At 49.6% G+C, this 13003-nt stretch overlaps 1 protein-coding gene across 9 annotated transcripts, besides 1 other annotated feature; it reads right to left on the reverse strand.

The window, feature by feature from the left end:
- Positions 1–278: 278 nt before the first annotated feature.
- CLK2 (CDC like kinase 2) lies at positions 279–10915 on the reverse strand. 9 transcript variants are annotated; one of them, NM_001363704.2, is made up of 13 exons: positions 10612–10915; positions 8219–8388; positions 6899–7124; positions 6119–6203; positions 5704–5770; positions 5421–5537; positions 4140–4306; positions 3271–3365; positions 2056–2185; positions 1879–1961; positions 1632–1711; positions 1361–1451; positions 279–811 (listed from the first exon to the last, which is right to left on the reverse strand). In NM_001363704.2, exons 2-13 carry the CDS (start codon positions 8386–8388, stop codon positions 629–631), a joined length of 1494 nt encoding a protein of 497 aa, NP_001350633.1. In that variant the 5' UTR covers positions 10612–10915; the 3' UTR covers positions 279–628. The 9 variants fall into 9 exon arrangements, with proteins under 9 accessions (NP_001350633.1, XP_011507445.1, NP_003984.2 ...); XM_011509143.2 differs by having other exon boundaries at positions 6119–6206; NM_003993.4 differs by having other exon boundaries at positions 6899–7127.
- Positions 11508–12008: an enhancer, noted in NCBI's record as "H3K27ac hESC enhancer chr1:155243888-155244388 (GRCh37/hg19 assembly coordinates)". NCBI's record gives its function as "activates a minimal SCP1, AML or CMV promoter by ChIP-STARR-seq in primed H9 embryonic stem cells {active_cell/tissue: H9 hESC(primed)}" and the evidence as "EXISTENCE:reporter gene assay evidence [ECO:0000049][PMID:30033119]".

A 13003-nucleotide genomic window follows, 5' to 3' on the forward strand; every position in this document is an offset into this window, starting at 1 on the left:
CGGCCTAATGACTCTAGGAGTCAGATCTTTCCCAACTCTCATAATTCCACATCCGAGAAGTGCCACCTCATAACACTTCTCTGTTTTAATCTGAAAGAAATGCTGCCCCACCCATCACTACCCTCCCATATGATAAGGTGGACAGGGGAAATAAACTGGTAGCCTGGCTGTGCTTCATTTTGGAGGGTAAGGAGGACTCCCTTCATACCCAAACTCAGAAAGTTTGCCAATAGTTTCATCCCTCCACCCCAGCATTCCCAAACCTCCAACTCCAGGGATGGGGGTCAAATGAAGCACGTTATTTTATTTCACAAAGACTGTACAAAATTCCTTATAAAACATGGGGTAGATGCCACCTGGTTACCTCACTCGGCCCCCATCCAACTCCGTATGAGGGGGCAGGTGAGGGTGGAAACTGTGTGGATGGAATAGTATTATGTACAAGGCAGGGGTTGAAGTGATAGGTACAAGTTCTTTCATATTTACACTATTTCACATATTCACAGGTATATAGAGAGCCAGGAGGAAGGAGTGAACTCTGGCTCGTTCTCTTGTATAAAAAAGCACCAGTGTCCTGGACTGGACACCCACTGCTATAAAAGATGCAGGGGGGCCCAGGGCCTGATCGTCACCGACTGATATCCCGACTGGAGTCCCACAACTTGTTGGGCGGCTCAGCCCGAAGGCGGGCGAAGAAAGGATGCTGAAGGGCTTCACCCAAGGTCAGCCGCTTAGCTGGTTCATACTCTAGCATGCTTTCAATCAGATCGAAGAGCTGGTGGTGTTCCTCTGCCTCTGAGGTCAGATACCGCTGGTGGAGGAGGGCAGGAAAAAGGTGAGGCAGGATGCCTTACAAACCCTGCCTTCTTCAAGACCCTACCTTTCATTCTTGGAGAACCAAGGCTCTGCTTGCAACCAATTTGAAGGCTACCTAACCACGACCACACCAGGACCAACGTTTCTGATATTATAGCTCAACCTACCTTCCCACTAGCACAATTACTCCATAATCTTTGAAAGTTCTTTCTACTTGTATATCCTTGTCAACTTCATGAATCTTCTTTAGTTCCTCATTAAAATGTAAGCTCTTCAAAGGTAGTTTATTCTTTTCTGTCTGACCTAAAGAATCCAGGACATTGCTTTGATCTCTGGTTGTCTCAAGGTTAGGCTGTCTAACCTCCTTCCCTCCACAAAACCACTCCCTCTTATGTTTCCTCTGTTGACCAAAGATGTCTTCTTTCAGCTTTCCTCCCCTCCTTTCCTAACCCTCTGCTTGTGAAGAGCATTCCAGGGGGCAAACCACCCTAAGAAGGAAGTGACTTCTGGACGGTGGGCACTATTTATCCCGAGCCCAGCTCACCCGCAGCGGTTTGCAGTTCTCACGAACATAGCGCCCAGCTGATGTGTTCTCATCCCAATCCAGGCGACCCCGGTAAAAATATTTCTGCTTTCTAGAGGGGAAGGGGAGGTTGAGGAATCAGAAGGTCACCCTTGTTACAATTCCCTTATTTCCCCATCTGAAAGTAACTGGGGGGAGAGGAGGTATCAAAGAAAAAAGAAAATGATGTGAAATAGACCAATTCTGTGGAGAGAAAAGGAAAAGAGTTAACTAGTGCCCCCTCAAGGTTCACCTTGTCTTTCGGATCATCCGGGAAGGGATAGGACCCAAGATCCTTTCCATCATGGCTAGATGCTCTCTGTTGTCATGGGTCTGGGAAACAAAAACAGAACTGAGCATGGGACTGAAAAGGGCATGCTAAGGATCAGCTGCCAGGAAGGCAGGCAATGTGGAGAACTGAGTAGGCAGGTCCTCAGCAGAAAACAAAGGAACCAGGTAGAAGAATGCCAGGCAGTCAAGTAAGACATCCCATCACTTACCTGGAAGAGGGTGAATCCCACATAGTATTCAAAGATGATGCAGCCTATACTCCACACATCACAAGGCTGTGACCAGCCCAACTCTGGGTGAGAATGGGAGGGAAAAGGTGTTATGAGGCTTAGGTGGCCCCACCCTCACATCATCTCACACACTTGGACAGCCTTGCCCTCCCTTACCAAGGATGACTTCTGGTGCTCGGTAATGGCGAGTGGAGACAATGGTGCTATGGTGCTCATGGTCAAAGGTGGCACTGCCAAAGTCTACCACCCGCACAGCTGTGCTCTTCACACTGCGCTCATCTCGCTTCTAGGAGCAGAGGAGAAAGAGGATGAACCTCTGCACCCAGACTGAGATTCCACCAGTATTCTCTACATTGCTTCTGAGCCTTAAAAAAGGTACTGTGATCTCCTGCCTGGCCTTACAAGCCCTGGGAAATTCCTGTTTTACAGCTTCCACCACATCCAGCATAATACTTTTAGAAGTAGGGGAGCAAAAGGATTAAGAAATGATTATAGAACAGCGTGCACATCTGTAAGCATCTGAAGACTACACTCAAGTGCCAGATATATAGTTATTCTGAAAACATGTAACATGTAGCAAATGGGTTTTTCTGAAAAAATGTAACATGTAGCAAATGGGTTTTTCTGAAAAAATGTAACATGTAGCAAAGGAGTTTCTCTAAAAATATGTAACATGTAGCAAAGGGGTCAAAGGAGGGAGAGCTTCTTTAGGTCTGAGATCTCCATTATCTCCAGTTAGTCAAAGGAGCCGAGCTTTCCTACCTCACAGAAATACACATCTCAAAAAAGAAGTCCGGGCCAGGCACTGTGGCTCACACCCGTAATCCCAGCATTCTGGGAGCCCGAGACAGGCAGATCACCTGAGGTTAGGGGTTCGAGACCAGCCTGGCCAACATGGCAAAACCCCATCTCTACTAAAAACACAAAAACTAGCCAGGCGTGGTGGCGGGTGCCTGTAATCCCAGCTACTCCAGAGGCTGAGGCAGGAGAATCACTTAAACCTGGGAGGTAGAGGTTGCAGTGAGCCGAGATTATGCCACTGCACATCAGTCTGGGCAACAGAGTGAGACTCTGTCTCAAATAAATAAATAAATAAATAAATAAATAAATAAATAAAGTCCAAACCAAGAACCTTAAAAACTTTCACTCTACTGGAAAGTTATCTGAAGTCCCCTGTACAAGTTATCTCCCAATTTAAGTCTTCTTAAGAGATTTCTCCCTTTCAACCTATTTAGTTTTACCCAGTTGGAGCCAGACAGGGAGAAAATGTGGGAGGACGAAATAAAAGGGAGAAAACAAAGGGCTCGGCAGAAGGCAAAGTGGTGCAGCTGCCTGCCCCCAGTAACCAAGGGCAGACCCTATCCATCTTACCTTCTCTAGGTTGTAGGTGAGCTCATAGTCTGAATTCACAAACAGAATATTTTCAGGCTTGAGGTCTGTATGTGTCAGCTTGTTATCATGGAGGACTGTAGGGGAGAAGGCCAGGTCAGGCTTGGTGCAGGTGGCCAGAGCTAACTGGTATCAGCTGACCCCAGGCCTGGTTACCTAGGGCAAAGCCAGTGAGGAGACAGGTCCAGAATCACTAGGGCTGCTTTCTGCTCTACGTCTAAATGGAATGCCTGGTCTAAGAAGCTCTGCTCTTTCTAATGTAAGATACATATGTAGCTCAACTGATGTAAAAAAAAAAAAGTTTGCTTTGAGTTGTAGTGTGTACACACTTTGACATGTGTCTAGCTGGCATTATGTTAACTCAATTCTGTGAAACTGTATTATTTTGATGACTCCAGAGGAATGATATATTTCTTTGAATTCCCCACCTTGCCCCTTAGCTGAACTACATACTCTGTGTTCCCATCTCCTTTGCTGTGAATGAACATCTCATCCCAGACAAATGTAAGCCTTTACCCTAAGGAGTGTATTTTTGTCTCTTTATGTTTGCTGTCTGACTGATGCTTTCCCAAGAAAGGGAGAAAGGAAAAGGGGAGGGTAATTAAGTGCTTTGATTCCAAAGGCTTTCTCTTCTAGCTGCTGCTAGGCTAGGTGTAGAGTAAGAGCAATCAGTGACGATAAAGACATCAGTCAAGGAGTTAAGTCAGAAGACGTTTCAAGATGACAGTAAATCAAAGAACTGCAGATAACAGACAGCTGACTGTTTAGGGGCTTCACCAGTGCACAACCGACAGAGAGATCCAATGAAGGGAGGGACTGCCCCAGAGTCCACTTCGGCCCACCCCACTCACACTTGACAGCCTGGCACAGCTGGAAGGCCATGTGGCGCACTTGGTGGATGGGGTAGGGCAGGTAGTTGTTGTCTTTGAGGAAATCGAAGGTGCTAAGGCCCAGAAGCTCAAAGGAGATACACATGTGGCCATGGTAGTCAAACCAGTCAAACATCTGGACACAGAGGCTGAGAAGAGAGATGGGGGAAGGGGGGTTGTCTGATGAGCTCCCATCTGCCCATCAGCCATCCAACAAGGAGGTACTTCATAGCTGTTGATTCCACATACTTGTGTAAAACCATGCCAGCTAGTACTAACACCAAAATTCAGTTCAGCTAAGGAGTAGCCTCTACCAGACCCAAGAAGAATGGTACTATCTGCCAGGTTTTTTTCTTTTTTGTTTTTGAGATGGCGTCTCACTCTGTCACCCAGGCTGGAGTGCAGTGGCGCGATCTTGGCTCACTGCAACCTCTGCCTCCTGTTCAAGCGATTCTCCTGCCTCAGCCTTCCAAGTAGCTGGGACTACAGTTGTCCACCACCATGCCCGGCTAATTTTTTTATTTTTAGTACAGACGGGGTTTCACCATATTGGCCAGGCTGGTCTCGAACTCCTGACATTGTGATCCACCCGCCTCGGCCTCCAAAGTGCTGGGATTACAGGCGTGAGCCACCATGCCCAGCCCAAGTTTCAAAATATCTTCCTGCGTCATTTTAAATAGTTCAAAAACTATTTGCTGAAGAGCTGTGGAGTGCCAAGCTCCAAACAGTATAGATCCTGAATCATCAAACTGTCCATCCTAAATCCCAACCCCAGCCCAACTCCTGATATTCATTCACCACTAGCTACCACTGGGCTCCTATTTATACCTACTGGCCTCATATCTTGGCTTAAAGTCCTTATTCTATTTTTGGACTGTGAATGTATGTGAACAAAATATTACTGCATAAATGTCTGTGGCCTTATCAGCATAGTTCTACTTATAAAAGCTTAATTCATTGTTCGATGAGGTTGATGCTCAGTCCTAGGGCTATGTCCAGGGTATATCTCTACAGAAGCCATTCTAGGCTGGGGTCAAACGACAGAGCAATCTAACTTCCCTGAAAACAAGGGGAGTGGATTAAGGAATGTCATGGGCCCCCCCCCTTTCCTACCCTGATGTTCTACTACTCTAAGATGATGAACAAAAGATGAATGGATGAGAAGGTCTAGGACTCCCCTGTCTGCCTAAACCAGGTCTAGAAGTCTCTCCCGTGTAGGGGTTGGGGCTCTCAGCCTCCCTACATACTTCCTTGCTTGCTTACTTCTTGTTGTCAGGGTCTTTCTCATTGATTTTCTCTAGCACGTTGATCTCAAGTCGAGCTGCTTCCTTGTACTTCTCCACATTCTTAATGATCTTCAGGGCAACTCGAGCCCCACCCCTGTAAGTTGGCAGGAGAGGCTTTTGCTGGGTTCTCAAGAATGTCTCAAAATGAACAGGGCTGTAGGGGGACTAAGAAATTCTACCTCAGGTTAATTAGCAAAAAAGCCCCATATAACCCCAACCATCTCTTTAGCCCCACATAGTAGGGAGGGACTGACAGTTACCTGCGATGGTCAACACATTGTACAACTCGGCCGAAGGTCCCCTCTCCTAAGGTGCTAACGATTTCATCTGAAATGAAAGAGAGCAGGGTCGGGGAGAGGGAGGGAGAGAAGGTGGGGAATGAGCTGAGTTGGAAGAAAAAAGGGGACAGCAACCTGGGGTGGAGATGAAGGAAGGGGAACAGATACAGATGGTCACAGGGGAAGAAAACCCCTGCGTGATTCCCACCACCTTTAACCCAGGGGCCGTGAGAGCTGGGAGTGGACAACAGAGGTCAATTCTCAACAGCAACTCAAACCACCCAGATAAACAACACCACTGAGAAAAGGCAAGAGGCTGTGACTCAGGTTGGCTTGGGACGTTAGGATGGCTATGGGACCATTACAGGCTATAGGATTGTTACGATTTGGCTTGTACATCGCTCTTGTAGCCAGTCCCCGACGTGGTAGATGAGGTGGCCCTCAGCGTCGTCCTCTACACTCTTGGCTCTCCGGCTGCTGTGCTGCTGTCGGGGGGCAGGGGGGGTCGGAGCAAGCCAGGTGTCGGAGCGGGGGCCGGAGGGAGGCGGGGTGGGTGGTAGAGGGGTCACCGGTCACAGGCGCCCAGCCAGGGGGGACAGACGATGATGGGGGACAGTGGAAGGGAACACGTCAGATGCAGTAAGGTGGATCGGTGTGAGAAGAGAGAGCGGCGCATAATCCCAAGTCCCCAAACCCAAAACAGGAACAGGGAGAGGCATGGGCAGAGCAGAGAAGTGGTGTTGTTGCCAATGTCACCCACAACCCCATGCTCTACACAATGCCCTTCCGGGCAGACACAGATCTCCCCTTGCCCCCACCCAAGCCCGCCTGCCAAGGGGGCTACAGAGCCCAGGGCTTGGGGGAAAAAGGCAGTTCACAAGCAAGGTCCCCATTAAAGAGTGGAGGCCGCTGGGGCGGAGAAGCTGCTCCCAACACAATAAGCCCAACATGCCAGGGAGAGCACTGGGGGTCACAAATGCTCCGTGCCCATCCATCTCCAAAGCAGATCCAGGGCCCTTCAAGAGTCGGAGAGCTTCCAAGAAAGTAGGCAAACTCAGTGCCCACCTCAGTGTTCATGCCCCAATGTTCAGCTGAGAACAAGGATACTGCTCACTTACCAGAGTCCTAGAGGGCCTGCAGAAGAGTGGGGAGAGGAAGGGCCTGGGCTGGCACTCACCGAAGATGAGCGGCTAAATGTCCGGCTGCGCCTCCTCCGCCGTCTGTGCTTCCTCCGGCTGCTGCGCTGGCTGCGGTAACTGCTGTTCTCCCGCTGATATTCATAGGAATGCCGATAGTCTGTGTCATAGTAGGCATCTCCCCGATCCCGGCTATAATCGTTGCGTCTGTAGCTGCCACAGTATCGCCGGTCATACACCCTCCGGTCGGACGAACGATCATCATAACTGCTGTTGGATAACAAATACCAATGAGGTGTATCTGTTCAGATCACATTCCCTACCATACCCTGTGACAAGGTCCTGCCTTAGTGAGGACAAAGAGTAATGCTAGAAAACTGTTCTCAGACACTTGTTGAGTCACTGAGAGGACCAAGGGACCAGAGAAGTGAGGTAACAAGCACATCTGCCATGTCACCAAAACCTCTGAAAAGGCATCTGCAGAACCACTCCCTATTGGGGCCTTTTTCCCGCTGCAGTGATACAAAGAAACAAAGAGCCATTTTTTTCTCAAGCTTTCCTGAATGAAATCCCCCCTTGCTCTAAACCATCCTTAACCCATTCTTTCCACTGAACATACCACTAAAATATTAAAACTGGGCCGGGCACAGTGGCTCACGCCTGTAATCCCAGCACTTTGGGAGGCCAAGGCAGGTGGAGCACTTGAGGTCAGGAGTTTGAGGCCAACATGGTGAAATCCTGTCTCTACTAAAAATACAAAAAAAAAAAAAAAAAATTAGCCAGGCATGATGGCGCATGCCTGTAGTCCCAGGTACTTGGGAGGCTGAGGCACAAGAATCGCTTGAACCTGGGGCCATAGAGTTTGCAGTGAGCTGAGATCTTGCCACTGCACTCCAGCCTGGGCAACAGAGTGAAACTCTGTCTCAAAAATAAATAAATGATATTTTAAAATTTTTAAAAAATTAAAAACACAAAGATCTAACTTTGTCTTATCTGTTAGCTTATTAGTTACCTGTAGCTCCCAGTCCTTTGCACATGCTTTCCCTCTGCCCAAAGACACTTCCCCCACCTGACTCTACTTGTCCTCCAGACATATACAGATGTTGCTTTCTCTGCAATGTTTTATCTGAATTAACATCCTGCCCCACTCCAACCAAACGCACTGGGTACGTCCTCAGTTCCTCATTATGTATTCTAACACTTAACACTGCAGCCCAAATGGCTTCTTTGGTTATCTATCCCGACATTACCTTCAGCCAGCTACTTAAGGCAATGGTTTTAGCATATAACCAATAAGTATTTGTTGAACAAAGGAATGAGCGAGTGACCCTGTGTTTGAGTATCTCTTCCTGAGGCCTCACCTTCGAGAACGGACATGGTAGCTGTCCTCTCGCCGACGCCGTCGTGTCCGGTCACTACTACTTGACCAGGAGCGACTTCTTCGTCGCTTATGCTTTCGGCTCCGATAGTGTTCACGGTAACTCCCCCGGCTGCCTCGCTCTGAGGAGTGGTACCTTCGAGGATGCGGCATCTGGAAGGCAAGGGAAAGCGGAAATAGGAAAGTTTCGAGTTTTCAGAAATCTCCTCCAAGGACTGGCTGCTCCAAAGATGCTAAGCTGCTTTCCCCTCTTATTTCTGCCTCTTTTTACCAGGCACAACTTCCTCAGTCTTCCTCTGTACTTACAATTCCTCCTTATTGGAGTACAGCCACCTACTAACTCTGGCTGAAACTCTAGAAAGCCCCCAAACCCATCCCTCATTACCCACCCCTCAGTTCAAGTGTTCTTATTTTATTCTTGAGACAGAGTCTCGCTGTGTGGCCAGGCTGGAGTGCAGTGGCACAATCTCGGCTCACTGCAACCTCCACTTCCCAGGTTCAAGCAACTCTCCTGCCTCAGCCTCCTGTGTAGCTGGGATTACAGGCACGCACCACCACTCCTGGCTAATTTTTATATTTTTAGTAGAGACGGGGTTTCACCATGTTGGCCAGGATGGTCTCAAACTCCTGACCTCGTGATCCTCCTGCCTCGGCCTCCCAAAGTGCTGGGATTACAGGCGTGAGCCACCGCACCCAGCCAGTTCAAGTGTTCTATCCTTATTTTCTTCAAACACAGCTCCATGAAGACCTTCAGGTCTAGGACACAGTTCACTACAGAGCAAAGTGTATGACGACCGATGGAGACTGCCACAGTGTATCCCCGTTCAGGATCTAAGATATAGATCTGTGTGATGCTGAGTTCCTCACAAGTCAATAGAGTAAAGCTTTGGTTTACAGTTATGATAAATGTTGTACACTCATTAAGAGTACATCTCATCTCCTCAAGTAGACTATCAGTGTCCTGAGGGTAGGAATCCAGTCTCCCAGGTTTCTACATATACCAGGTAAACGCCAAATACTATCAGCTCCAGGGATCTGGGTCGGGCCCCTTGAATTAACTTAATCATCTCTCACATCTTTGGCCAACTCTCCCTTGAGAGGTTTTAATGTAGTAGGCCACAAAATACAGTCAGCATCCCATCTGGCCCCTCCACTCTTGTGCTTAAGACGTAGATAACAACTGTTTCTTGTGTTTTTTTTTTTTTTTTTGAAACGGAGTTTTGCTCTTGTTGCCCAGGCTGGAGTGCAATGGCGCAATCTCGGCTCACCATAACCTCCGCCTGCAGGGTTCAAGCGATTCTCCTGCCTCAGCCTCCCGAGTAGCTGGGATTACAGGCATGCGCCGCCACGCCCAGCTAATTTTGTATTTTTAGTAGAGACAGGGTTTCTCCATGTTGGTCAGGCTGGTCTCGAACTCCCAACCTCAGGTGATCCGCCCGCCTTGGCCTCCCAAAGTGCTGGGATTACAGATGTGAGCCACCGCGCCTGGCCAGTAAGTGGTTTTTAATTAATATCAGCCCTACTTAGCTGACAGCTGGCCACCTTCCAGTTAATGGAATTGGAATGGGATGGTTCACAAATCCTTTTTTTCCTTCAAGGAAAAAAGAGAAAAATCACTGTCACAATCCAGGAAGATGAGAATAGGAAGGCACAATAAAATGAAACAGGCCCAGGGACATAAGTCTTGGTGGGGGTGTATGAGAATCGCGTATGCAAAAGGTTTAATGATTCCGATGTCTGACCACCATTCTGTATCACTTCTTCCCAACCTCCCCAAATTGAGGAGGGTGGTATTTGATGCATTCTTGGTGTAACTGGGGCCGGTAGCATACCAAGCTGCAAGCACAAGATTTTCCCAGCATAGTTATCCTAATCAGCATAGCCACATAAATGCCATCTCACCACATACTACCATCAAACGGCCTCACAGCACTGTCCCCTCAAAACATCACTAGCCTACCTTTCTCAAGTTTGAAATCTTTTGCTTTTTCCTTTCTTACTCAGAAAATCCAGAACTCCTACAGGCAAATTCTTCCTGCATGTTCCAAGTGACACGGTGATGTATTCCTCCCCTCCAGCTTTGATTGGACCCGAGTCCAACTTTGATATTCCACTCCTTCACATCTCTGGAACCACTCCCATCCTTACTCTATCATCCCTTCTAGTCTGGTTCCGCCCAAGCTTCCTACAGGTCTTCTTGGTACATCTAACGCAGGCCGACCTCCTTCCCCCTCATCTCCCTACTCCGTCGCTTCGTAGGTCTCAACTCTCCTCCTCTCCAAATCTCGCCCCCGTCCCTTGCCCCCAACCCAAGCCTAACCCCGCCCGCCCCGCGGTCGCCATCTTTTCGCGCGGCCAGCCAACCCGCGCGCTCACCGTTCTGGCGGCGAGGCCCGTGCGCTTGTCCCACAGGAAGTCCGTGATGGCGGCGACACTGCGGCCGGAGTCCCGGCACCCCCGCGGCGACGAAATGCTGCTCCACCCCCCCAACCCGGGACCCTGGGACCTCCCGCCCCGTTCCCGGGCTCCGCTTCAGTCCCGCCCGCCCCGGCTCCGTCCCCGCCCCTAAGATCTGCTTGGCGCCGCTCGCACCGCCCCCGCCCGGGGCCCGATCCCAGCTCGGTCTCCGGCTCTGGCCTCTCCGCTCCGCCGCCGCCGCCGTGAGCGAGCACGTACGCACGGACCGACGTCCTGCGTCGCTTCCCAGCTACCCCCTGGGCTCCGCCCCCAGGACCGCGCGCGCCACCACGTGCTCACGTAGTTGGCAGGCATCCGCCTGTCAGAGCCTCGGAGGTACTGGGGGCGGAAGTTCATAGGGGCGAGGAGGGTCCACAGGGACAAGCTGGAAGCCTTCCAGGCCCGCTATGCCCCGCCTCCTGTCCTTTCCCACTCCGTCTTCAATCTTTTACCCTTTGCATGGAGACGTGTGGCTTAGTTAGGTTTGGAGTTTAAAAGAAAGGATTGTCATTGTCAATACAGTGTCGCTGCTCTGCAAGCCTGACTGTAGTGAGGCTTGATGGTGAAGTCTCATTCTTCTGCATAGCCTGAAAATAACCATTTCTTAAAACACTTCACCTACCTATCCCCAGGACAAAAGTCTGCCACCTTTTGTCATCAACAAAAGTTATGCACGACTCGGGGTGGGGACACAGCCATGGAGGAAAGGTTTGAGCAATGGAGGGTTGGAGAATCGGGTGCCGAAAAGGGGGACTTACTTGAGAACTGTATCCTAAGGTGGCTTACATAATGTGTGAGAAATACAAGTTTACTAGGGCCGGGCGCGGTGGCTCTCGCCTATAATCCCAACACTTTGGGAAGCCGAGGCGGGCGGATCACGAGGTCAGGAGTTCGAGATTAGCCTGATCAACATGGTGAAATCCCGTCTCTACTAAAAATACAAAAATTAGCCGGGCATGGTGGCGGGCGCCTGTAATCCCAGCTACTCAGGAGGCTGAGGTAGGAGAATCGCTTGAACCCGGGAGGCGGAGGTTGCAGTGAGCCGAGATCGGGCCATTGCACTGCAGCCTGGGTGACAGAGCGAGACTCTGTCTCAAAAAAAAAAAAAAAAAAAAAAAAAAGCGCGCATCACCACGCCCAGCTATTTTTTTTTTTCTTGTAGAGATAGTGCCTCACTTTGTTACCCAGGCTAGTCTTGAACCCCTGAGCTCAAGCAATCCTCCCCCATCGGCCTCCCAAAGTGCTGGGATTACAAGCATCAGCCACGGCGCTTGGCCAGTTTACTAAATCTTAAAAAAGAACAGGAAGGCTGGGCGAGGTGGCTCACGCCTGTAATACCAACACTTTGGGAGGCCAACGTGGGTGGATCACTTAAGCATAGGAGTTTGAGACAGCCTGGGCAACAGGGCAAAACCCAGACTCTTAAAAAAATACAAGGCCGGGCGCGGTGGCTCACGCCTGTAATCCCAGCACTTTGGGAGGCCAAGGCGGGCGGATCACGAGGTCAGGAGATCGAGACCATCCTGGCTAACACGGTGAAACCCCGTCTCTACTAAAAATACAAAAAATTAGCCGGGCGAGGTGGCGGGCGCCTGTAGTCCCAGCTACTCGGGAGGCTGAGGCAGGAGAATGGCGTGAACCCCAGGGGGCGGAGCCTGCAGTGAGCCGAGATTGCGCCACTGCACTCCAGCCTGGGCGACAGCGAGACTCCGTCTCAAAAAAAAAAAAAAAAAAAAAAAAAAAAATACAAAAATTAGGCCAAGCGCGGTGGCTCATGCCTGTAATCCCAACAGTTTTGGAGGCCCAGGAAGGTGGATCACTTGAGCACAGGAGTTCGAGACCAGCCTGGCCAACCTGGTGAAACCCTGTCTCTACTAAAAATACAAAAATTAGCCGGGTGTGATGGCAGGTGCCTGTAATCCCAGCTATTTGGAAGGCTGAGGCACGAGAATCGCTTGAATCCAGAAGGTGGAGGTTGCAGTGAGCCGAGATGGTGCCATTGCACTCCAGCCTGGGCGACAGAGTGAGACTGTGTCTAAAATAAAATAAAATAAAAAATAAAAATTAGCCATTCATGGTGTCTCCCACCTGTAGTCCCAGCTACTCGGGAGGCTGAGGTGGGAGGATCACCTGAGCCTGGGGAGGTTGAGGCTGTAGTGACCCGTGATCGTGCCACTGCACTCCAGCTTGGGCGACAGAGTGAGACTCTATCTCAAAAAAAAAAAAAAAAAAAAAAGAAAAGAAAAGAAAAAAAGAAAATGAGAAAGAGAAAGAGTTAGAGACTTTACAGAAGGAATTGAGAAGTGGTCAG

This window comes from Homo sapiens, chromosome 1 (genome assembly GCF_000001405.40).
Source record: "Homo sapiens chromosome 1, GRCh38.p14 Primary Assembly".
Taxonomy (NCBI): Eukaryota; Metazoa; Chordata; class Mammalia; order Primates; family Hominidae; genus Homo; species Homo sapiens.